The 21743-nt window shown below is 49.2% G+C and overlaps 1 protein-coding gene across 10 annotated transcripts in view, besides 1 other annotated feature; it reads left to right on the forward strand.

The window, feature by feature from the left end:
- Nucleotides 1-21743, forward strand: part of ADCYAP1R1 (ADCYAP receptor type I) — a 59167-nt gene that overhangs the window by 31720 nt on the left and 5704 nt on the right. For 4 of the 10 annotated variants that reach the window (NM_001199635.2, XM_017011736.3, XM_017011737.3 and 1 more), the window contains 10 exons: nt 114-223; nt 710-807; nt 1283-1415; nt 2357-2510; nt 2916-2976; nt 3600-3669; nt 8617-8708; nt 16100-16183; nt 19210-19339; nt 20841-20882. In NM_001199635.2, coding sequence (NP_001186564.1) covers nt 114-223; nt 710-807; nt 1283-1415; nt 2357-2510; nt 2916-2976; nt 3600-3669; nt 8617-8708; nt 16100-16183; nt 19210-19339; nt 20841-20882 — 974 coding nt within the window. Of the gene's footprint in view, nt 1-113; nt 224-709; nt 808-1282; nt 1416-2356; nt 2511-2915; nt 2977-3599; nt 3670-8616; nt 8709-11639; nt 11724-16099; nt 16184-19209; nt 19340-20840; nt 20883-21743 lie in introns of all 10 variants that reach the window. The other 6 variants (NM_001118.5, XM_047419879.1, NM_001199637.2 and 3 more) reach the window with 3 other exon arrangements.
- Nucleotides 17869-18369: an enhancer, noted in NCBI's record as "H3K4me1 hESC enhancer chr7:31141510-31142010 (GRCh37/hg19 assembly coordinates)". NCBI's record gives its function as "activates a minimal SCP1, AML or CMV promoter by ChIP-STARR-seq in primed H9 embryonic stem cells {active_cell/tissue: H9 hESC(primed)}" and the evidence as "EXISTENCE:reporter gene assay evidence [ECO:0000049][PMID:30033119]".

The following is a 21743-nucleotide window of genomic DNA, read 5'->3' on the forward strand; positions in this document are numbered from 1 at the left end:
CAGTTGGTCATAGGGGTTTCCAGGAATTCCCACTGAATACGTAATTTTTGCATAAGAATTTCAGGGCCCTCTTAATCATTTCTGGGCCTCGCTGAGTTTTCTTTTTGCTGCAGACATGGGAGTGGTGAGCCGGAACTGCACGGAGGATGGCTGGTCGGAACCCTTCCCTCATTACTTTGATGCCTGTGGGTTTGATGAATATGAATCTGAGACTGGGGACCAGGTGAGTGTCTGCACCCTGCTCCCCAGAGGTGGTGAGGGTAGGGCTGAGGAAATTTAGGTCAGTAGGCAGCATTCATGAGCACCTGCTGGGGCTGAGAAGCAACTGGGATGCTGCCTACTCCTCCCCACCTGCACCTGGCTACTCTTACAGGATACTGGAATTAATGCCACTGGGTTAATGCCAGGCCCAGCAAGGGGCTTCCTGGACCTTTGTGTAGTCCAAGGCTGTGTCTGTTCTGATTGGACAGCGCTCTTGCCTTCAACAGCATATATTGAGCATCTGCAGAATGCTGACAGTGTGCAAAGGGGACCAAGAGGCTTGGCCAGGGGTGGGAGGTGGTGGAGATGATATCAGCAGAAGAGAGGAAGGAGGAGCTAGGCCTGGAGGTGGGCAGGCCCTGGCCTGGGAGACTGGGTGCAGGCCTGAGGCAGCCTGGCTGTGGGCAGGTCTCACATGAAGTCCTGCATGTCCTGTGCTCTGCTTCAGGATTATTACTACCTGTCAGTGAAGGCCCTCTACACGGTTGGCTACAGCACATCCCTCGTCACCCTCACCACTGCCATGGTCATCCTTTGTCGCTTCCGGTGAGACCCTCAGCAACATTCAAGCAAGCACCAGAGCTGGCCAGGGCCTCAGAGGCCTTGGTGCATCTCTCCCCTCCCCCCTTGATGTCAGCCCTAGAAGACCCCTTTGAAGGCATTTCTCCCACCCCAAGGATAACAGATGGGAAACTTCACTCCAGAGAGGGCAACTGACTTGTCCAGGGCTATGCAGCCAGGCAGAGCCTGGGCAGGAGATCTGCATTCCTTGCTTTTGTCTTCCTGGTCTAGAAAGACAGAGGCCACAGGAGGGAGAAGTCTGGCCATGTGGGGTGGTGGAGCTGGGTTATAGGGGCCTGGAAGTCAGTGAGGATTTAGAGAGGTGGCAGGAAGGAGGGTGGCCTGGGTGGGAGACCTGCTGAGATAAAGCCACAGAGTTGGCCCACCACAGATGCCCACATGGAGGGTGTGAAATGCTGTGGGGTCCAAGGCTTCTTTCTCCCCTGGCCCACTCATGTAGGAAGCTGCACTGCACACGCAACTTCATCCACATGAACCTGTTTGTGTCGTTCATGCTGAGGGCGATCTCCGTCTTCATCAAAGACTGGATTCTGTATGCGGAGCAGGACAGCAACCACTGCTTCATCTCCACTGTGAGTGAGCCAAGCAGACCCATTAGGGCTCTGCCGGGAAGGTCCCGCACCATCCCCTTGGTTCCCCAGGACGCACATTACCTGCCTGACACCCTGCAGATCAAGTGTGTCCCTGCAGGTGAAGGCATTGCCCCACCCCCCCGGTTTATGTGAAAACTCACGAATTAAGTTACTAGTAGCTGATGAGCCAATGTACGACATCACTTCCAGCCAAAATGCTTCCTGTCTCTTGGCCTGGGTGTTGCATTTGGCAAGGCAGAAGAGGAAGGTCAGGTGGGAACACCAAGTCCCACTTGAATGAAGAGGAAACTGATGCTGAGAGAGGGCTTACCTAGCCCCTGGTCATTTAACTAGCCTGGGATGGAGCCCAGGTGCTGATTGGCCAGGGGTCTTTCCAGACACCTCCCCAGGTCTCACACTTCTGGAGGAGGTAGCATGTGGAGAAGCTGGTCTTTGAGGAGGTAGGTTAGGAAGAAGAGTGTAAAGTCCAGGGCCTTGACCAGGAGGACATGCTTGGGGAGCCTCTATGAGTAGAGATTTCTGGAAGCTAGGAATATGTATCCCCCCACCTGAAAGGTGTCCAAATCCTCATTATACCAAGGAGCCTCCTGCAGGGTCCTCTGGCTGCTTCTCTCCCTACTCCTCTCCTCTGTGGGAGATAGGGAAGGAGCAGGAAAGTGAAGGAGGATGAGCTGGTGGTGGGGAGGCTCTGTGTCTGCCACCCGTCTTTGTCCTGTGTGTGCAGTTTTGCCTCCATGGGCAGCTTTGACTCAGAATCATGGGATGCTGCAATTTTCAACTCTTTGATCCAGGAATATTGACTCTCTTAGATCCTTGGGATGTTTGAACCTGAGCATGCCAGAGCCAACGGGCCCTAGGATTCTCCCTTGCTCCTGTTCCTGTTGGGCTCACGCCCCTCACCCTGGCGCTTCTCCCTGCAGGTGGAATGTAAGGCCGTCATGGTTTTCTTCCACTACTGTGTTGTGTCCAACTACTTCTGGCTGTTCATCGAGGGCCTGTACCTCTTCACTCTGCTGGTGGAGACCTTCTTCCCTGAAAGGAGATACTTCTACTGGTACACCATCATTGGCTGGGGTAGGTTCCTGGCTGTGGCTTGGACAGGTTCAGGTCCCGTGGTCAGGTGTGTCCAGGTGTGTCTTTGGTTCCATCTTCAGGAAGTGTCAGGTGAGGAGGGGCCACTGCCCTGCCCGAGTCTAATGGCCTAGGCTCTGTCTTGGACTCTTTCTCAATCTTCTTGCCTGTGGAAAGCCCACTATCTCAGGGAGGAGTTAAATCCAGGAGTCCTCTGAGAGACAAGACAGCCCTTGGTCTGAGGGAGATATAGACCCTCAGGAGGCCTGGGTGTGAGGGACAGTTAGAATTCCCAGGAATTCCAAGTCTCATGGGGGAGCAATAGCCTCTCGGAGCCCCAGGTCTACGGTGGACATTGGACATGTTGGTTTTCCTGTTCTCACGGACCTCTTTTTCTTGTTCTCCCAGGGACCCCAACTGTGTGTGTGACAGTGTGGGCTACGCTGAGACTCTACTTTGATGACACAGGGTTAGTACATGCGCGAGAGTCAGGGCCACAGCACAGAGTAGATTCTTACAGATGGGTTCTCAGTAGCTGCCCTGACTTCACATGAACTGCCCGCAACAAACCATTCAATGCCAGGCCCAGACTAAAGCCCAGCACTGGGCACCACCTGAGCCATGGCCCCATGCAGGTGACCCACCCAGCTGCGTCTCAGCCAGCAACCCAGCAAGAGAATGTGCTAGGTGTCTGAGCCCTTGTCTACTTCTGTACTCAGCTGAGTGTCTGTTTTGCTTTTAGGGAGGGGATGAAGCATGTTGAGGGGGAGGTCACATCCTAAGAGCTGTAGGTCTTATGGGGAAAAATGGTCCTTTCCCAGGAGCTCACTGGTGATACTGACTTTTGGGCTTCATGCCCTGCCTTGATAGGTGAGCAGAGGGAAAGATAGAGGCTCAGAAGGAGGGGATTTTCAGAGCCAGGACCAGGCTGGAGTCTGTAGCCCGCTGGAGAGCTCTTGTTCCAGCCAGCCCCTCCTCAGAGAGCTGCGGTGGTGAAAGTGTCGGGCACCCAGCTAGGCAGGGCAGTGTCCCGCAGGCTTCTATGCTGCCGACTCACAGACGTGATCTTGCTTCTCTCTGTCCATCTTTCAGCTGCTGGGATATGAATGACAGCACAGCTCTGTGGTGGGTGATCAAAGGCCCTGTGGTTGGCTCTATCATGGTGAGTGTCCTTGGGATGAAGAGGAAGGGAAGAGACAGGGTCTTGGGCAGAAAGGCACGCGAGGAAGAGAAATGAAAGAGTCCCCACACAACCTGACTTCCTCCTCTGTCATGGCTGCATTATAATCTGTAACAGGGATGCACAAACTCTTTAGCTATTCCCCTAACACTGGAGATTTATATTGTCCCATTTTTTCCTTATTACAAAAAATAGAAATAGTTTTGTGCATAATTTTGAGCATGTGGAAATATTTCTTTAGAATAAATCCTTAGAAGTGGAATTGCTGGGTTGAAAGGGGTACACATTTAAAATTTCAGATCCCAAATTGCTTTGCAAAAACCCTTTAACAATTTATTCCTCCTCAGGAAGAGTGATTCATTTCCCCATTTCATTGTCTACGCTTAATCAATAATTTAATTTTTTGCACAGGCTTCTGGAGGATAATGCTGGCTTATAATTTTAATGTACATTTCTCCATCTCGCTAGCGTAACTGAGCACTTGTTTCCAAACATTAATTGACAATTTGTTTTTATCGTGAATATTCCTGTTTATTTCTCTTGTTCAGTTTTCTATCAGATTTTATTAGTTACAGTTTAAAGGATAGTTAACACTTCCGATGTTGTGTATGTTGCAAGTATATTTCCATTTCTGCATAGCATTTATACAGTCAAATGGTCAAGATTTCCCTTAGTGAATTCCAAGCCTTATTTCTGGTTGATGGAGGCCTTTCCCAACCCAAGACATAAAAATATTGTTCTTGTTTGTAACACTTTTGTGGATGTAAAACAAAGTCTACACTTTTTGTGGACTATTACATGTGCATCTTCAATCCAGCTGAAATTTTATTGTTTTGTCTGGTCTGAAATGATATTCAATTTTATCTAATTTTCAATGGATGGACATTCTACCCTCTCAATCCTTTTTATTGAATCCTTTCTCCATTATGTTGAAATGTCATTTTATTATAAACACTCAATATACTGGTCTTTGGTTCCAGACTTTCTATTCTGTGTTACTAATGTATTTGTCCATTCCCATGGCAGATGCACCATTATGCTAGTTACTGTAACCTTGTAGCATGTTCTGGTATGCAGATTTTCCCTTCATTATTCTTTTGTTTTCTTCAGATTTTCCTTGCACGTTTACTGTTTCTGGTGTACTTTTGAATATCCTTGTCAAGTTGCACCAAAAATGTCTAGTTAAGATTTGTGTAGGAATTGCATTGCGTTTACAGACTAATTTGGAGGAGAATTTATTTTCTTAAAAGATTGAGTCATCCTCTCCAAGAATGTGGCATGATTCTCCATGTATTCAGTCTTTCTTATAGAGTCATTTTGGTTAAGTTTTTTAGTTTTCTTCCTTGTTCTTGTTATGTTTACCTCTAAGGTGTTTTCCAGTTTGGGCTTTAAGTGAGTCTAGGAATCATTCTTTCATTGTATTTTCTAATGGGCTATTGCTGGTGTACAGGAAAGCTATTGTTTTTTATGTATTGTGTCCTTTCTTAGTTGTGTTTCTGAATTCTCTTATTGGTTTTTATCCCTTTTCACTTGGTTCTCATGGATTTTCTAGGTGGAAAATTATATAATCTTCAAATGAAAATAAATTTTGCTCTTTCTTTCCAGTGTTTACATCTCTTGGCCCTTGTTTTGTAGGGATGATGTTTGCTCTAGTTTTGGCAGTTACCCTTCATTGAATTGGGAAAGTTTTTCATCTTGGCTTGTTTCAGTTTTTTTTTTTTTTTTTTAATCAGGAATGGGTATTGAATTGTATCAAATGTGTTTTGGAGGCATTCATTCAAGTAATGATTTATTTAGTCATGGCTATTTATAGTATTCCACTTTTCCTTCATTATGAGCAGTGCCGCAATGAATATATTTGTGCATATCTTGAGCATACGTGAATACGTCCTTAGAATAAATCTCAAGAGTGGAATTTCTGGGACGAAGGGTATGTACATTTAACATTTTCATGCAGATCAGATTGCTCTCAATGAGCAAGGTACAAGAGCGCTCATTTCCCATGTCTTTGTTGATGTTTCTGTTGCTGAATTATACTTGCTGGTCTTATGGAGGATAATGGAAGCTTGTTTTAATCTGTTATTGTAACAAATATTAGATTTTTGGGGGTGCATTTCTGGGATAAAACCTTTATTAACATGATCTGTTTATTCTTTTACTGTATTGCTAAATTTTGTTTTTTAATATTTTGTTTAAAGTTTTTGGCATTGTTCATAAAATTCTATGGTCTTAGGTACACGTGTGTGTGTATCTGTGTGTTTTCTCTCCTTATTCTGTTTTTGTAGCAAAATTTTGTTAGCCTCATAGGTAATCCTGAAGGTTTTCTTTTTTTTATTTGCCTTGAAACAATTAAGCAGTATGTAAATTACATCTTTGTTAATGTTATTCTGGAACTGGTCTATAAAATTATCTGGACCTGGTACCTTTTAATGCATACACCTTTAACTACTTTTTAACTTCTTCTGAGGTTATTGCTCTACTTAGATTTTCTATTTCTTCTTACGTTGATTTTGTTGATATTTATTTTCCCATCTTATTCAATTTTCTCTCATCATTTAAAATATTGTGTATGTCTATTGTCTTGCCATCTTTCTCATTCCTAAATTTGTTTAATTATATTTTCTCCTTTTTCATTGACTAACACATACAGTTAGCAGTATTACTAAGTACCAGGTATTGATGTTTTTCCTTTTTTTAAAAATAATTTCAACTTTTATTTTAGATCCAGGGAATACATGTGCAGGTTTGTTACATAGGTATATCACATGATGCTGAAGTTATGGGTACAATTGATCCCGTCACCCAGGTAGTGAGCATATTACCCAACAGTTAGTTTTTCATCCCTTGCCCCGATCCTCCCACCCTGTCTAGTAGTTCCCAGTGTCCATTGTTGCCATTTTTATGTCCATGAGTGCTCAATGTTTAGCTCCCACGTCTAAGTGAGAACACGTGGTATTTGGTTTTTCTGTTTCTCTGTTAATTCACTTAGGATAATGGCCTCCAGCTGTGTCCATGTTGCCGTAAAGGATGTGGCTACATTCTTTTTATGGCTGTGTAGTAGTCCATGGTGTATACGTGCCACATTTTCTTTATCCAATCCACTATCGATGGGCACCTATGTGGGTCCCATGTCTTTGCTACTGTGAATAGTGCTGTGATGAACATACCAATGCGTGTGTCTTTTTTGTAGAATGATATATTTTCCTTTGGGCATATACTCAGTAATGGGATTGCTGGGTCTAATGATGGTTCTGTTTTAAGTTCTTTGAGAAATCTCCAAACTACTTTCCATGGTGGCTGAATTAATTTACATTCCCACCAACAGTGTTTCCATGTTCCCTTTTCTCTGCTGCCTCCCCAGCATCTGTTGTCTTTTGACTTTTTAGTAATAGCCATTCTGACTGGTGTGAGATGGTATCTCATTGTGGTTTTGATTCTCATTTCTCTGATGATTAGTGCTGTGGAGCATTTTTTCATATGTTTGCTGGCTGCTTGTACATCTTCTTTAGAGAAGTATCCATTTATATCTTTTGCCCAATTTTTAATAAGATTATTTGTCTTTTGCTTTTGAATTGAGTTCCTTATAGATGCTGGATATTAGACCTTTGTTGGATGCATAATTTGCAAATATATTCTCCCATTCTGTAGGTTGTCTGTTTGCTCTGTTGACAGTTTCTTTTGCTGTGAAGTTCTTTAGTTTAATTAGGTCCCACTTGTCAATTTTTGATTTTGTTGCAATTGCTTTTGAGGACATAGCCATAAATTCTTTCCCAAGGCCTATGTCCAGAATGGTGGTTCCTAGGTTTTCTTCTAGGACTTTTATAGTTTGAGGTCTTATCTTTAAGTCTTTAGTTCATCTTTAGTTAAATTTTGAATATGGTGTAAGGAAGGGGTCCAGTTTCACTCTTCTGCCTATGGTGAACCAGCAATCCCAGCATCATTTACTGAATAGGGAGTCCTTTCCCCGTTGCTTATTTTCGTAAACTTCAGACACTGATCAAACTGGGCATTGTAGCAGAGAACACGATTGACAGAATCCTGCCCTCATGAAACAGCCTTTGTCATTCAATTCATCTGTAAAAACCAACAAACAAGATAAAAGCAAAAATAAAACTTTATTTTTATTGATCAGTTCTCCTATTTTTTCTTATTTCTTTCTGATAATTTTTTATAATTATTAATTTCTTTCTTATATAAGTTACGTTTGTGGTAATCTTTCCCTAGCTCTTGATTTGAATGCTTAAGTGTTTTTCAGTATTTATTGTTTTTTTAATCAGTTAGTTTTTGGCTCTTCATTTTTTTCTCCAAGGGCTGCTTTGGCTATGCCTGAAAGACATTGATGTGTAGTCCTGTGGAGTCCTGTCATTGTGCCTTGTTTCTATTTCTTTGCTTCCCTTCCTCCTCCTTTGTGACCGTTCACATAGCTTCCTACTTTGTTTAGGAAGCTTTTGTCCCTAGTCTTTATCTGAAGGCAATGCTACTATTACCACTCCCAGGCAGCCCTTTAATTAGCAATGCTTATGGCTGTCCATTCTGGTTCCCCATATTTGATGACTCTGAACTTGGAATTTCTCTACAGAACAACTCTCACTTCTGCAATAGTCTTACTTTATCTCTTTTGGGCTGTAGTTTTCCCATCACCCTGATCCTGTTTTCTCTTTCTCTTTTAGAAATGGCTTACTTTTCTGACTTACTCATGATGTCCTTTCCTATTTCCCGTACTTCTATGGAATCCTTTTTCTTCTATCTCTTCCTTCATTTTAATGATACTGTGGGAGGCTGGAGAGATAAATGGGAATTATCACACCGCCATCTTGGATTAGAAGTGTAGATGGGATCTTGACTAGGTGGGGGAGGGTCCTGCTGGGGAAATAATAGCATCTTTGCCCAGAATCATGTCCATCTGCTTTTTTTTTTTTTGCTCCTTAGGTTAACTTTGTGCTTTTTATTGGCATTATCGTCATCCTTGTGCAGAAACTTCAGTCTCCAGACATGGGAGGCAATGAGTCCAGCATCTACTTGTAAGTACCATTGTGTGGCTGCCACAGCCATTTCTGACAGCCGAGCGGGCCCTGCATTCAGGTCACAGCAGAAGGCGGCCTGGGCTTTGCTGATAGGGTGACCTAGCATCAGCATTTGCAGATCTTCTTCTGATTAAAGAGCCTTTAATATAGTTGCCCTTCCAGAATTCAGCAAACCCAGGAGCTCCTCAGCTGCATGGCCATCATATGGATGGGCAGGAAGAGAGAGAGAGAGAGAGAGCCTGAGAGAGAGACTGACTAGGAAAGTCAAGAAGGAAAACATCAGATTTCCTAAGGGAGGTAGGGTCTTGGTTGGTTAGAAGTTGAGTTTCCTTTGGGGTTCCTGGTTCTGTGGGAAGCTCATGAATACCACTGAATACATTGTTGCCTGATATTCCGACCCCCAGCCCAGACTGTGGAAGTTGCCCAGTTCCCACTAGCGAGTCAGGCGGACACATTCTCACTGGTCTGGGTGTTGGAAGGTGGGTACTTTCTTTCCTCCACAGGCCCTCGGGGCAGCTCTACCTCTGCATGTGGTCCTATTTCTTCAACTCCTTCCTTTCTGATGAACATCTAATTGGTTGGGGATTATTGGGTTACAGGGCAGCCTCTTACCATAGAGCGTAGGGCTTTCTCCACTTCCATGGCCACTTGATTTCCAAGAAGTATTTCTGCAGTCATGTCCCTAACAGCCTATCTTTGCCTGCCCTTTCCCATTTCTCTCTCCGCCCTGTCTCATTATGAAATCAGACATAGCAGCTTCCACCTCCCATCTCTGGCTGTGAATGGGAGCATGACCAGCTGGGTGTGTGGGGTATGAGGACATTTCTGATGCTGGGGAGGAAGGTTGGTTGTCCCCTGTGGTTGGCTGGAGGGGTGGATGGGCACACTCTGGTTCTGAGGGCAGTCCTTGGGGTCCGTCTGTTGGTAAGGCAAAAGCCCTATGTGTGGCTTCTCCGCTCCTTCAGAAGAAAGCAGATGAGGAGGAGCTGAGGTATCTTCACTGGGTGCCTCATTGGGTCCATGGTCCTGCCTTCATCAGAGACCCCAGTAGATGCTGGGGTCACAGCATCTACTGGCTGCCCAGTAGATGACAAGTGGGACAGTGAGAGATCCCAGTACAGGGTTCCCCCAGGGTCCCCTTCCTCAGCCATTCTCCTAGAGGGAGAGGCAAGAACTGCTCGGAGACCAAATCCTAGATCCTTCCCTAAGGCTCCCTGAGGCTTCCTCAGGGAGGTGGAGCTTGTTCTTGGTCTGTCAATCTGTTCAGCCTGGGGAACTCCCCATGTGGAAACCCTTCCTCAGGGGTGGGGGACTAGCACAGGGCCTGGGGTGTTCAGCCAGGTTTTTTCTACCTATACAATGATTACATTACATTGGAAAAAGTGCTTTTTTTCCTATCCATTTACTGTTTTTTCTTTCATGTTTTTGCAAGTTTTTACCAATTCTTGCTTATATGTGTATATTATGTAGTAGAAAATTATTCATCAATATAAATCATAAAGTCTTAGAGGCCCTGCCCTGTGGGGTGGGGGGCCAGCCCTTTGCTACTACATAACCTGCCCTAGAGATAGCATTCCTGCCTTCATCTCAAGGATTCACAAAATAGGGCCCCGCTGCTCGCCTCATCTCCTGTCTAGTGTTGGACACTGCCCTTGTGTCTGGCCTCAGTTTCTCCTGCTTGGGCGTGGATCAGGTCACACACTAATAGTTGTCTCCCATATTTGAAGCTGGCAGGGAGCTAAGTCAACCTCATCTCTCGTTTGAGCTCTAGTGGTCTTGATTTCCTCCCCTTCCTGGTAGGATTTGTTCTTCTACTGAGGGCCCCCCAACCTCTTCTCTGGGGGGGTCCTCTCAGCTTTCCCTACTAAATAGGATACCCTACTGAACCCTGAACATACTTTGCCAACTCAGACATTCTGCTTTGGGCAGCAAGAACCCCCAGGGCCTGGTGGGAAAGAAGTGCCCGCCAAGGTTTCAGGTTCTCCACGGACCAGGAGCCTTGAGTCTTGTTAGGTCTTCCTCATGCATAGATAAGAGCTACCTGTAATTAGCACATGGTTTATACATTTAAGTACTGTATTAATCTGGGACATTTAAAGATCCAGCTAGTTGGTTTGCTTCTGGCATTAAAAAAAAATCCCTTTGCAATCTCAGCAAATCTTTTTTTTTTAGAGAAAGTCAAACCTCTGCTAGTCTTGAGTGCCCATGATTAAAAACTCAGATGGACAAAGTCTGTGAGAGTGGGAGTGCCCACACAGGACAGGGAATCAGCTTGATCCCATTCAGTCCAGCAGCATGTTTGAGTGACAGGGTCAAGGAGACCCTGTCGGCCAAAGTGAGTAGTAATCCAATTGACCACACTGCTAAGAACTGTAGAGCACTTGGAAATACTCGCGACCACATCCATGCACATTTAACACCTGCAAACATCCAGTGAATCTGGTGGAATAGGTAAATCACTGTCAAATAGAATCACCATGTTACAGCTGAGGGAACTAGTTATCAGTGAAGTGACGTGAATCCAGGAGGAAGGAGGATGCCATGGCTGTGGTGCGGGCAGGCCTTTCACCCCAAGCTTGACAGCACCGTCATCCCTGTCCTCAAGGAATGCACAGATGAAAAGATAGCATTAAACAAGTGTGCAAAATTAGGCTTCCTGGAAGAAGAGGCCCCTGGTGGGTTCCAGCCTGTGTGAAAGCCCCCTCAGCCCAGAGTGCTTGGCAGAGCTGGCTTTGAGCTGGGAGGTGTCTGCACTGGGAGGAGGGGAGAATGTCAGGCGCAGGGGAGGTGAGAGGGCAGTGAATGGGGGGAGAGGGAGATTCCAGGGCTGTGCCAGAGTCCCCTGGGGTACCAGAGTTATGTGTGGGGCCAAGAAGCCCCTTCAGATCTGCCCACAACAGCTCTCCGGTTTTTTCCTCTTATTTCCAGAACAAATTTAAGCCCGCGAGTCCCCAAGAAAGCCCGAGAGGACCCCCTGCCTGTGCCCTCAGACCAGCATTCACTCCCTTTCCTGTAGGTTGGTTCCAGCTGCTCAGGTGATAAGGGTTTGTCCTCCATAGACCAAGACGGTATTCCTGGCCCAGCCTCAGAAGCACCTGATGGGGTCTGGGGCCTCTGCGGGGGGACGGTGGCACTGAGCCACTCGTCCTCTCTGACCTGATGCTCCTGGTAGGATGAGTGGCTGGGGACAGGACTTGGGCAGTGGGCATCAGGGGCTGGGTCAGGGCTTAGCATGTGCTCAGGGTCGACTTGGTCTGGGGCAGGGGTGAGGGGGGTTAGGGCTTAGCCCTCAGCTGGGGTTGGCATTAAGCCTCGGGTAGGTCAGGGTTAACTGGAGTTGACCTCTGTGAGCAGGTAACTGGTTCAGAAAGGGGAGAGGTGAGGCTTCCAGGGTAGACATTAACTGTTCGGGGAGAGCCTCAGCCCCCTGCCTTGAAGTGAGCCGGCTTCATTCTAGGGGTCTCCTCCCTGGAAGACAAGCACTGGAAGCTGCAGCTTGGGTGGAGGAGGGAAAACCCATTTGTACTCCCATGGGGTCTCCTTGGCCCCATTGGGGAGGATGCACACATCTCTGGAGATGGCTGTGCCGGGGCCAGGCAGAAGTGCGGCCAGGCAGCTTTCAGTCTAGAGGCTTCCTCCACATCCAGAGCCTTCCAGCTCACAAAGCCTCCATCTTCCACTTCCACAGCACCTCCTCCCCTGCCAAGGAGCACCTGATCCTCAAAGTTCATGTTAGGGGCTGGCAGTAGGGACTAGTTACCCTCATGTTGCAGACAGAGAAACTGAGGCCCAGAGAAGGAAAATGGCACCACCTAAGATGACCCAGCAGTCAGTGGCTGAGCAAAACCCTGAGCTAGGGTGCCCAGACTTCTCAGCTGGGACCCCTCCAGACCGGCTGGGAGTATGGAGGAGTGGCTCGTCCTTGTGGTTGCGGAGGAGGTGGTGGTGGGCAGGAAGTTCCCAGGATCTGTGAGCTGTGCTGCTAGCTGGGGTGCCAGTGTGGTAGGGAGTACTTCGAGGACTGGGCAGGGCTCCGGGGGTGCACAGCATCTTAGCATCAGGAGAGACCCTATGGAGTGTGTTCAGCTCAGTCCACCACATTCTGTGGACCGCCAAGTGGCCAGCACCACAGTGATCCCTAGGAATGCAGACGTGAAGAAGACAGGGATGCTGCCTGCAAAGGGCTCCCTGCAGGTGTCTCTGTCTAGCGTTCCTCTGGGTGTTTCCCAGGGCTGTAGCCCAACCAACCCTGCACACCACAGCTGCGGAAGCATTTCTGGAGTTTGGCCCTCATAGAAACTGTGCTGGATCCCCGGCTGACAGATGTGAGTGCTAAGACATGGAAATAGCTGTGACTTTCCTGCAGACACACAATGAAGCTGTGGCGTAGCCAGCCCCAGAGGCCAAGGCTCTCTGAAAGGCAGACGTGGGGGTGAGCCCTGCACCTGTGATAGGGTCTCCCACTTTCTGAATCAGGCTGCTCTGCTCTCCAGACAGCCCCACCCAACACCCTTGCCTGAGCTTTTAGTCTCTTTTGGATCCAACTCAGAATTTACCGCATCAGTCAGTCTAGGTTCATCCCTTCTTCCTGACTTAATTTATTTTCCCTTTTCCCTAATTGTCGTGACTTTTAAGACATTCTGACATCTTCCTTTCTCCCACCGTGTCTCTGGCTTTCCTGCACTATTTGTTCTTTTTCTTTTCCATGAGTCCTTTTGTGCAGAGCCATTGAAGGTTTGGGGAAAGCCTTTTCTTTAGACCCATCTCCTTCAAGAGCCCTCCAGGGCCAGTCCTCCCCCAAGCTGCTCCTTGATCTGCCCTCCCTGACCCCCATCAGAGCCACACAACTTTACCAGGTGCAGGGTTTCCCAGTGAACTTGTCACTAAATGGTCTTTGGAATACTTTCAAAAAATCCTTAAAAAAAATCAGAGGAGTCTGTGTTTACCATGGAAACATCTAGGGTCCGGGAGGGACAGGAACAATCTTGAAGCTAAAGAAAGCAGGGCTGCAGAGGAGAACTTCAGAATTTGGGGTGAAGGTTTAAGCTTGGCATGTAGGAGGCAACAGATACAGTTGGGGGGGGGTCTCCTGGACCCTGATTTCTGTGGTTTACCCAAGCCAAGGTTGAGGGGTCACTGGCCGTAGGAGAGAATAACCAATTATTATTATTTTTAATTTTTAGACAGAGTCTTGCTCTGTTGCCCAGGCTGAATTGCAGTGGCGAGATCTTGGCTCACTGCAACCTCTTTCTCCTGGGTTCAAGTGATTCTCCTGCCTCAGCCTCCCAAGTAGCTGGGACTGCAGGCACCTGCCACTACGCCCGGCTAATTTTTTTGTATTTTAGTAGAGACAGGGTCTCACCATGTTGCCCAGGCTGGTCTCAAACTCCTGAACTCAGCCAATCCACCCGCCTCGGCCTCCCAAAGTGCTGGGATTACAGGCCACTGCGCCCAGCCTGAGACTAACCAACTTTTCAGCTAGGAAAAGGTACATAATAAATTTGAAGAATAGAATAGGTACCATTTCTGTATACCCAGTTAAGCTATTTTAATTATTGAGAAAAACATACTTATTTGAGTCTGTCTCTTTGTATGACTGTGAAACAGACTTTTGACATTCATTGAGGAATCATGAAGAAACTTCTCAGATAGATGAATACCTCCTAATGGCGCTTCTCAAGCTTTGGCATGCATGTGGATCCCCCAGGGATCTAGTTAAAATGCAGATTCTGACCACAGGTCCGAGGTGGCACCTGGGATTCTGCATTTCTAAGAAGCTCTCAGGTGGTGTTGGTGTTGATGGTCTGGGGACTGCAGTCTGAGTAGCAAAGCATCAAACCAAACCTCGACATTCCTCTTCTGGAAAAGGGGATCTGTAGTGCCCACCTCACAGTGTGGTGTGAATTGAATGGTGCTGTTTGTTGAATGAGAACCCCAAATCCATTATGCACAGATGCAGCGGGGCGGGGGGGGGGGGGGGACCTGGGCTTGCCCCATCTTGGAAATGTGTGACACAAATTCTGGCCTCAGCGAAATGACATGTCACCACCTGTCAGGTACCTTCAGGCTTACTCTTAAAGAGCTGGAATCACACAAGGCAGATCCTGAATGCCAAGGGTGTGGTCTCTGTAGCTGTCCTCATTTGCATCAGGTCCAATCTGATTTATTAATTCATTGACCAGCACCGGGAGACTCAGAGCCATGTGGTACCTGAGGAGAGTTAGTGAAGTAGCAAGTCTTTTGCAATCTGAGAAGATAATACAGCTCATCATCTATCTCTGACACATCTGTCAGAGAAGGGGAAAGTGTTCATGGCTTGTGTCAGCCCAAGTCCAAGCAGGACCACTGTGGGCTGGAGACACAGAGAGTCAGCCTGAGACCTCCCTGAGGAGACAGAAGTCCTGGGTCCACCCAGGAGAATGTAGAGTGAGACTGCAGCCTGGGCCCCCCTCCTTGAGGTGGTTTGTTTCTGCAAGCCATGGGGCAGTGCCCAAAGGTGCTCCTCTCAGTCTTCAGCCCCTGCCCATTGAACTTGTATCAAGAAGTCCAGCCCAACACTGTCCCCTACAACTCCCTGCAGTGATGGGAATGTCCTATGTCTGTGCTGTCCGATATGATAACCACTAGCTCCATGTGGCTGTTGAGCCCTTAAAATGTGGCCAGAACAACTGAGGATGTGGGTTTTTAATTTGATTAATTTAAATTCAAATAGCCACATATGGGTAGTGGCTATCATATTGGAATAGTTTAGGTCTGGATGAATTAACAATTCATTCAATCTGACTTACCTCTGTCCCCTATGTATGTGCTGATTCTGAGTTGCTGGGGGGCTCACAGGGAGGAAGCTGTGGACCAGAGGAGAGGGAGAGGGTAGAGGGGAAAGACCAGTGGACGGACACCCAAGTTGACCTTCACAGCCAAGCCCAGAACTGGCCTGATTTGAGGCTCAGGTTGCCTGTGCTAGGCAGTGCAGAAGATCGGCAGTGTGAGTTTCCAGCTCTCATCTTGTTGAGTGGGACCTTGACGAGGCGGGGCTCTAAGCTTGGAGCCAACTCTGGAGGCAGCCTCTGGCTCCCTGTGTGAGACCTAGCCCAGGCCACCTTCTGAATACACACCTTCCCTCTAAACCCACCCACCTAGCAGTGGTCCCAGTGTGAGTGTTCGTGCGTGTGTGCGTGTGCAGCCATGCACACTCATGTCCACGTATAGGCGTGCGTTTCTCTGTCCAGAGCTGCCCATGTCTTGGCCCTTGGCTCCCTCATTCTCCTCCACATGACTGCCCTGGCCCTGTCTCCATACCCTCCTCTTTTCTGCTTTCCCTGTAAACTGAGTTTCTTCACTGCCTGGTGCCCCCCAGCTGACAGAAGTGCTAATCTTGTCACACCCAGCAGCTGCGTGCAGAAATGCTACTGCAAGCCACAGCGGGCTCAGCAGCACTCTTGCAAGATGTCAGAACTGTCCACCATTACTCTGTAAGTGTGCGTGGCCGAGGCTGTGGCCGGGAATCCTGGAGGGGTGGGGGACGCATGCTGCCACTGCCGCTGCTGGAGGAGAGTGGAGAGCCAGCCTCTGCCTCCCAGCCCCAACCCATTCCCGGCTGTTGCATGTTGGTGTCTGTGTGTCTTGTGAGTTCTCTGCAGCCTCGTGGTCATGGGGTGGGTGGGCAGGGTGTGGGGATGGATCTACGGCCATTGTGGGTGCTTCCTGAGGAAGCAGCACCCCCATGTTCTCTGCTGCTGCTGCCTGGTGTGTGGCCTTCCTCAGTCCCCAACTTCTCTGAGCTTCAGTGTTTTCAACTGCCAAATTATTTCCAAGAGTCTTAGAGCCTGAGTTCGTATAGACCTTCCCCCACACAGGGCAGGGAACTTCACTCCAGTGTCCACAGCACTTTGTGTGTGAGTCAGCATTAACTCACTAAATCCCCACAACAACTCTATGAGCTGGGTCCTGGTATCATCACCATTTTACAAATGAGAAAACTGAAGTGCTGAGAGATGAAGTCACTCACTCAAGGACCCCTAATTGACAGAGGGAGGATTTGAACCCAGAGAATCCTAAGCACTTCGCCCCAAGGAGTCTCTGGCTGGAATATCAGATTTATTCAATTTGGACATCCCTTTTACTTAAGGTGCCATTGCTCCCCTGGGCAGCCCACTGTTATTTGGGCATCTCTGATGCCCTTCTTGGTATTTTGGGACTCTTCTGCCCATTGCTGGCTCCTCAGGGCAGGAGGACAGAGGCCTAGGCCCCGTGTCATTTTGGGTAATGGCTCACATCATATGTTTCTGTTGCAAGACGTCAGTTAGCTTAGAAGCACAGTCCCAGAACCCTGGGCTCTAGAGACTCCTTGTCTGTCCCTACTGCCCCATTTGCCAAAGTGGCCACCGGGATGCCCTGGCTCCCCAGCAGAAGTCCCTGTCTGTTCTGGGGCTGCTGTGGGGCTGCTGGGGAGGGAAGGTGTTGCCCTTGGACTGTGCTGTGGGATGCCCTCACTACCATCACTGCATCCACCTTGTGGCTGGGAAAGGCCTGAAGGGTCACTGTTTCTCACACTCTGAATCCATCCCATGTAATTCCACCACAGAAGCTGGAGAGATTTGACTTATTGGTTTCCAGGGCCCTTTTTAGACTACAGGGACAAGTACTTGGAAATGGTCCCACCTATGGGAACAGATGCCAGGAGGAGGAAGGCAGGGGCCACAGGCATGTTCTGGGGCCAGCTTCCTTTCCTGGGCTCCTTCAATAGATATCTTTTTAAAAGTAGCCCCTATAGGTAGGGCCACAGAGGAGTCCCCAAGACATCCATGTCCCTGTGTTTCTGGCCATTTTCCTCTGCATTCCCGACTTTCATTCCTTCTGCAAGCACCCTCTGTTGCCTTCTGGTGCCAGGCATGGATAACCAGAGATGAACAAGACCCGAGCGCCCAAGAGAGAATTCAGTTTTGAGGATGCTGAGGCTCTCAAAGTAGGCCTGTGTGCCACATGGATTTCTTCATGGAACAGGCAGCTCCCTGCCCCAGATAAATGAGGCACCACCCCCACCTTCAGGGAGTCACAGTCAGAGATAGACAGATAAGAGGAAGGATGGAAGGATGGACTGGTCAGGATTGCATCTGGGCTTAGCAGGAACCTGCTCGGATCCTGGTGGCCCTTGTCTGTGAGCAGGGCGGAAAGGGTGGACACCCACACTCATGGTCCTCTTCCTTTACGGGCTGAGCTCCCTCTGCCTAAAGATCTCCTCAGGCTGCTCCTCCTCCCCCTGTGTCTCCTCCTTCCTTCCTTCTCCTCTCTGAATGTAAGCTAGGAAGTCAAGGGCCTCACACAGACTCCAAGAGTTCAGCTTCTCTAGAGATCTGGAGCTCCCATGTTCAACAGAACATTCTCTCCCAGAAAGGCTGAATGCGGGAGAGAGGGACACATGGTGTAATTGCCCCAAATCAAACGACTGCCTCATGCCTGCTGTCCACCCCGGGGGACTTAGCTGTGCTGGGAGATGGGGAGGCTGATCCTCTGGAGGAGATGGGCCAGGTGCAGCCTGGGGGCAGGCCACATCTGCGGGGCAGGCCACATCTGCAGGGCAGAGCTGGACTCTCTGGGGGAGACCCACAGGGAGCCAGTGTGCCCACTCTGGGTGAATGCTTGTGAGTGTCCCCTATAGAGCAGGACCCACAAGTGCACATGGTCCAGGTGTCCTAGCTGTGGGCTTCTGTGGCCCTGTGGCTTCAGAACAGAGCCCCACCGTGCTGTCAGCCTAGGGCCAGAGGCAGGCAGGGGAACTCCAGGAGAGCTGCCTCAGGAAGCACTGCAGTCCTCCGGCCCTTCCTCCCCTGCCTGGCCCACTTCAGAGCATTCTCTTCCACCTTTGACTCAGTTTCCCAGCAGGAGGTTCCTCCTGCCCAGTTGGAGATTGCCGATGCCCAGGGTCCGTAAGTTCCTCCTAGAATCCCTCCCGAGTTTCTTCCTCTGTGATCCACTCACTGAGCCTTTCCTCCCTCCCTGCCATCAGCACTTCCCCATCACTTGGTGAGTGTCCCGGCTAGCCCCAGGCTCCAAAAAGCCAACTGTCTCTGTGGCCCATCGAGGGCTGCTTCTTTCAGGCACAAAGAGCTTTCTTCCAGAACAGGAGAGCGGCTGCTCTGCCTGAGGACCCTGCATTTCCCACAAGCTTGTCAGTCTGATCCCTGTGTTTTGCCCTGACTTTGCTTTTCCAGAAGGTTTTGCACGTCACCCAAGGGGTCCCTGTAAATCGTGTGCACATTTTTAGTGGTTCTACAGGCTATTGACTGAGTGTCTTGCAGACTGGGGATGTCTCCCCACAATATCCCAGAGTCCTGGCAGCCCAGGCCACTTGTACTGGGAGAGAATGCTGAGGGGTCTGTGGACACGGGCCCCAGCTTGGAGGGAGAATAAGGGACTGGGGCTGAGTTCTCTGCCCTCCGTGGCTCTGGCCCCGAGCCCTGGAAGTCCCCAGAGCAGATGTTTTGCTTTCCTCCGACAGGCGACTGGCCCGGTCCACCCTGCTGCTCATCCCACTATTCGGAATCCACTACACAGTATTTGCCTTCTCCCCAGAGAATGTCAGCAAAAGGGAAAGACTCGTGTTTGAGCTGGGGCTGGGCTCCTTCCAGGTAGGTGTGGCACATGGGGAGGACAGAACTCACTGGGAGCCAGGGCCTGGTTGCTCACCTGCAAGTGGTGCTGGAGCCTCTTTAATCTTGACTGTAAAGTGAGTGCTAGAGTAGAGGTGATGAGGGAGCCCTGTCTGCTGTCTACCCTTAGGGCTCCTGTAAGAAGACACACTGGTGTCTGCCCATCACTGCATCTGAGTATCCTGAGCCAGCTGCCCCCACTCCTGGCCCCCACCCTGGGTGACCTGAGATGGCATCTCCCAGCAGCCTGGGGTGCAGGGTGGAGTGTCCTCAAGAGCCCAGTGTGTCCACATCCTGCCTTCAGCTTTTTAGGCCATGTACCCCTTGAGTTCTGTCTTACCTACATCTAGATCCCCAGCACAGGGCCTGGCCACAGAGAGCCCAGTGAGCTGCACAAATGCATGAGCAAACAGACATGAGTGAGTGGGGGGATGAGAGGGTGAACAGAATGCTGCCTTAGTGCCTGGAGGAAGGAGTGGATGGACTGGAAATGAGTAAGGGGCTAGGTGAATCACCATGAGGAAATGAGCAGGCAGGAGCAGCAGTAGGTGGATGAAGGCAGGGGCAGCTCCCTGGAGTGTCTGGGGATAGAGCGCCTCTCCCTAAGCCAGCTGTTTGAATTAGTATTTGATCTTGATGGTCAGAAAGTTACTCTCCATATCTGACTTGACCTTCTCCACCATTTTAATCCAAGGCCATTTAACCGGGCCCAGGTTCTTAGTCTGGTGAGACTGACTATGGGTCTCACCTGAGACTGGCCTCATGGGCTCATAGACAAAGCCCTGGCCCAGGAGTGAGAGCCCAGGGCTCTTGTCTCTGTGCTTGCTGACCAGTTCTGGGGTCCTTGAGCTATCATTCTTCCAACACCTTCAAACGACAGCACAGGGCACAGGGATTGCAAGGAACTAATTTGCAGCATTCAAGAAAATGCTCCTGCTTTTTTGGTGTGGATTTAAAGAATATATAGAGAATAGCTAAGTGCATACGCTGTGCCAAGTACTCGCTCTGCGTGGTGTTCTGCATTGCTGTGTATGATAGTATCTGGCCCAAGGAGGGCAGATTGGGGAGATGATGGTGGACAAGGATGGCACAGGTCTGTTCTGTCCTGGAGGGTTCCTACCCTCAGAAGCCTGCAGGATGGTTAGGAGCTAAGAGAAATTCTAGGGCATTCAGGGAAGGCTTCTTATAGGAAGTGGGATAGAGCTGGCCTTTGGGAATGGGAAGGATCTGACCAAGGGAATGTGAGATCCAAAGCTAGAATGTATCTGTGGGACAGGACTTGACCACCAGCCACGTGGCCTCATGGGTGTGCCCATCTTGGTAGAGTAGAACTGTCCCATCTTACCCCAGATCCCTGGGCAGGTGCCCCCATCCAGGTCATGGTGTATTTCTGCTTCCTAGAGTCATCCCCTCCATGCCCCACACAGCATTTCAGAAAGTCCTTTGCTAGCATCCTCAGGCTTATTTTCTCTATTCCCAGGGCTTTGTGGTGGCTGTTCTCTACTGTTTTCTGAATGGTGAGGTAAGACCTTGGCCCTCTGGCTTCTTGGCAGTGGAAGTGGGGCTTTCTGGGGAGCAGACAGGGGAACCACCTGTTGGCCACATGGGACTGACTCTTCAGAGAGGGCTCTGCCAGGCTCCCAGCACTGAGAGGAGGGGCTGGTCATACAGCTCCTGGCATTGTGTGGTGCCAGGACCTCCTGATACCCACACCCTGTGCTGGAATCTGTCCCACTTTGCCAGCTGTGCAGCTAAGGCCCCACCCAAAGAGCAAAGCTCCTGGTAAAAGCGTCGGCTCTGCTGAGCGCAGATCTCCCTGGGAGGGTCCTCTCCATAAGACACTCCGTGGTGAGGAGGAATTGACAATAAGGAAGGGTGGGGCACAGGACATAGGACCTACAGGCCATGAGGCTGTGCTAGGCAGAGCTGCTGAGCCAGGAGCTGCCTGGCACTCAGGGTTGCCCTTAACTGGCCAGCCAGCCTGGCCCAAACTGTCCCCTGGTAGAAGGGAGACTGTGAGAATTTGGAAGAGACCCCAGGGAGAGACCTGGAACCTTCTATTAATACTCCATTGCCAGAGCTGTGGTTCGGGGGCTCCCTCTGTACCCTATTGGGGTAAAGCGCTTGAGCACAACCCAAAACAGAGGTGCTGGGGCAGCGGTGGGGACTGAATGGCTAGGGTGGATTTGAGAGTAGGCGGGAGTCTTTGCACCAGTGCTTGGGTCTTAGCTGCATCACCTTGGCAGGCTCCTCCCTCTTTTGCATCTGAGCAACAGAGATTGGGCTCTGTGATCGCCCAGACAACCTACAGAAGGATCAGATTAGGACAGACAAGAGAGGCAGAAAGGGCCCTGCAGGTAGTGGCCAGGAGAGCTTAGAAGTG

Source organism: Homo sapiens, chromosome 7 (assembly GCF_000001405.40).
Source record: "Homo sapiens chromosome 7, GRCh38.p14 Primary Assembly".
Taxonomy (NCBI): domain Eukaryota; kingdom Metazoa; phylum Chordata; class Mammalia; order Primates; family Hominidae; genus Homo; species Homo sapiens.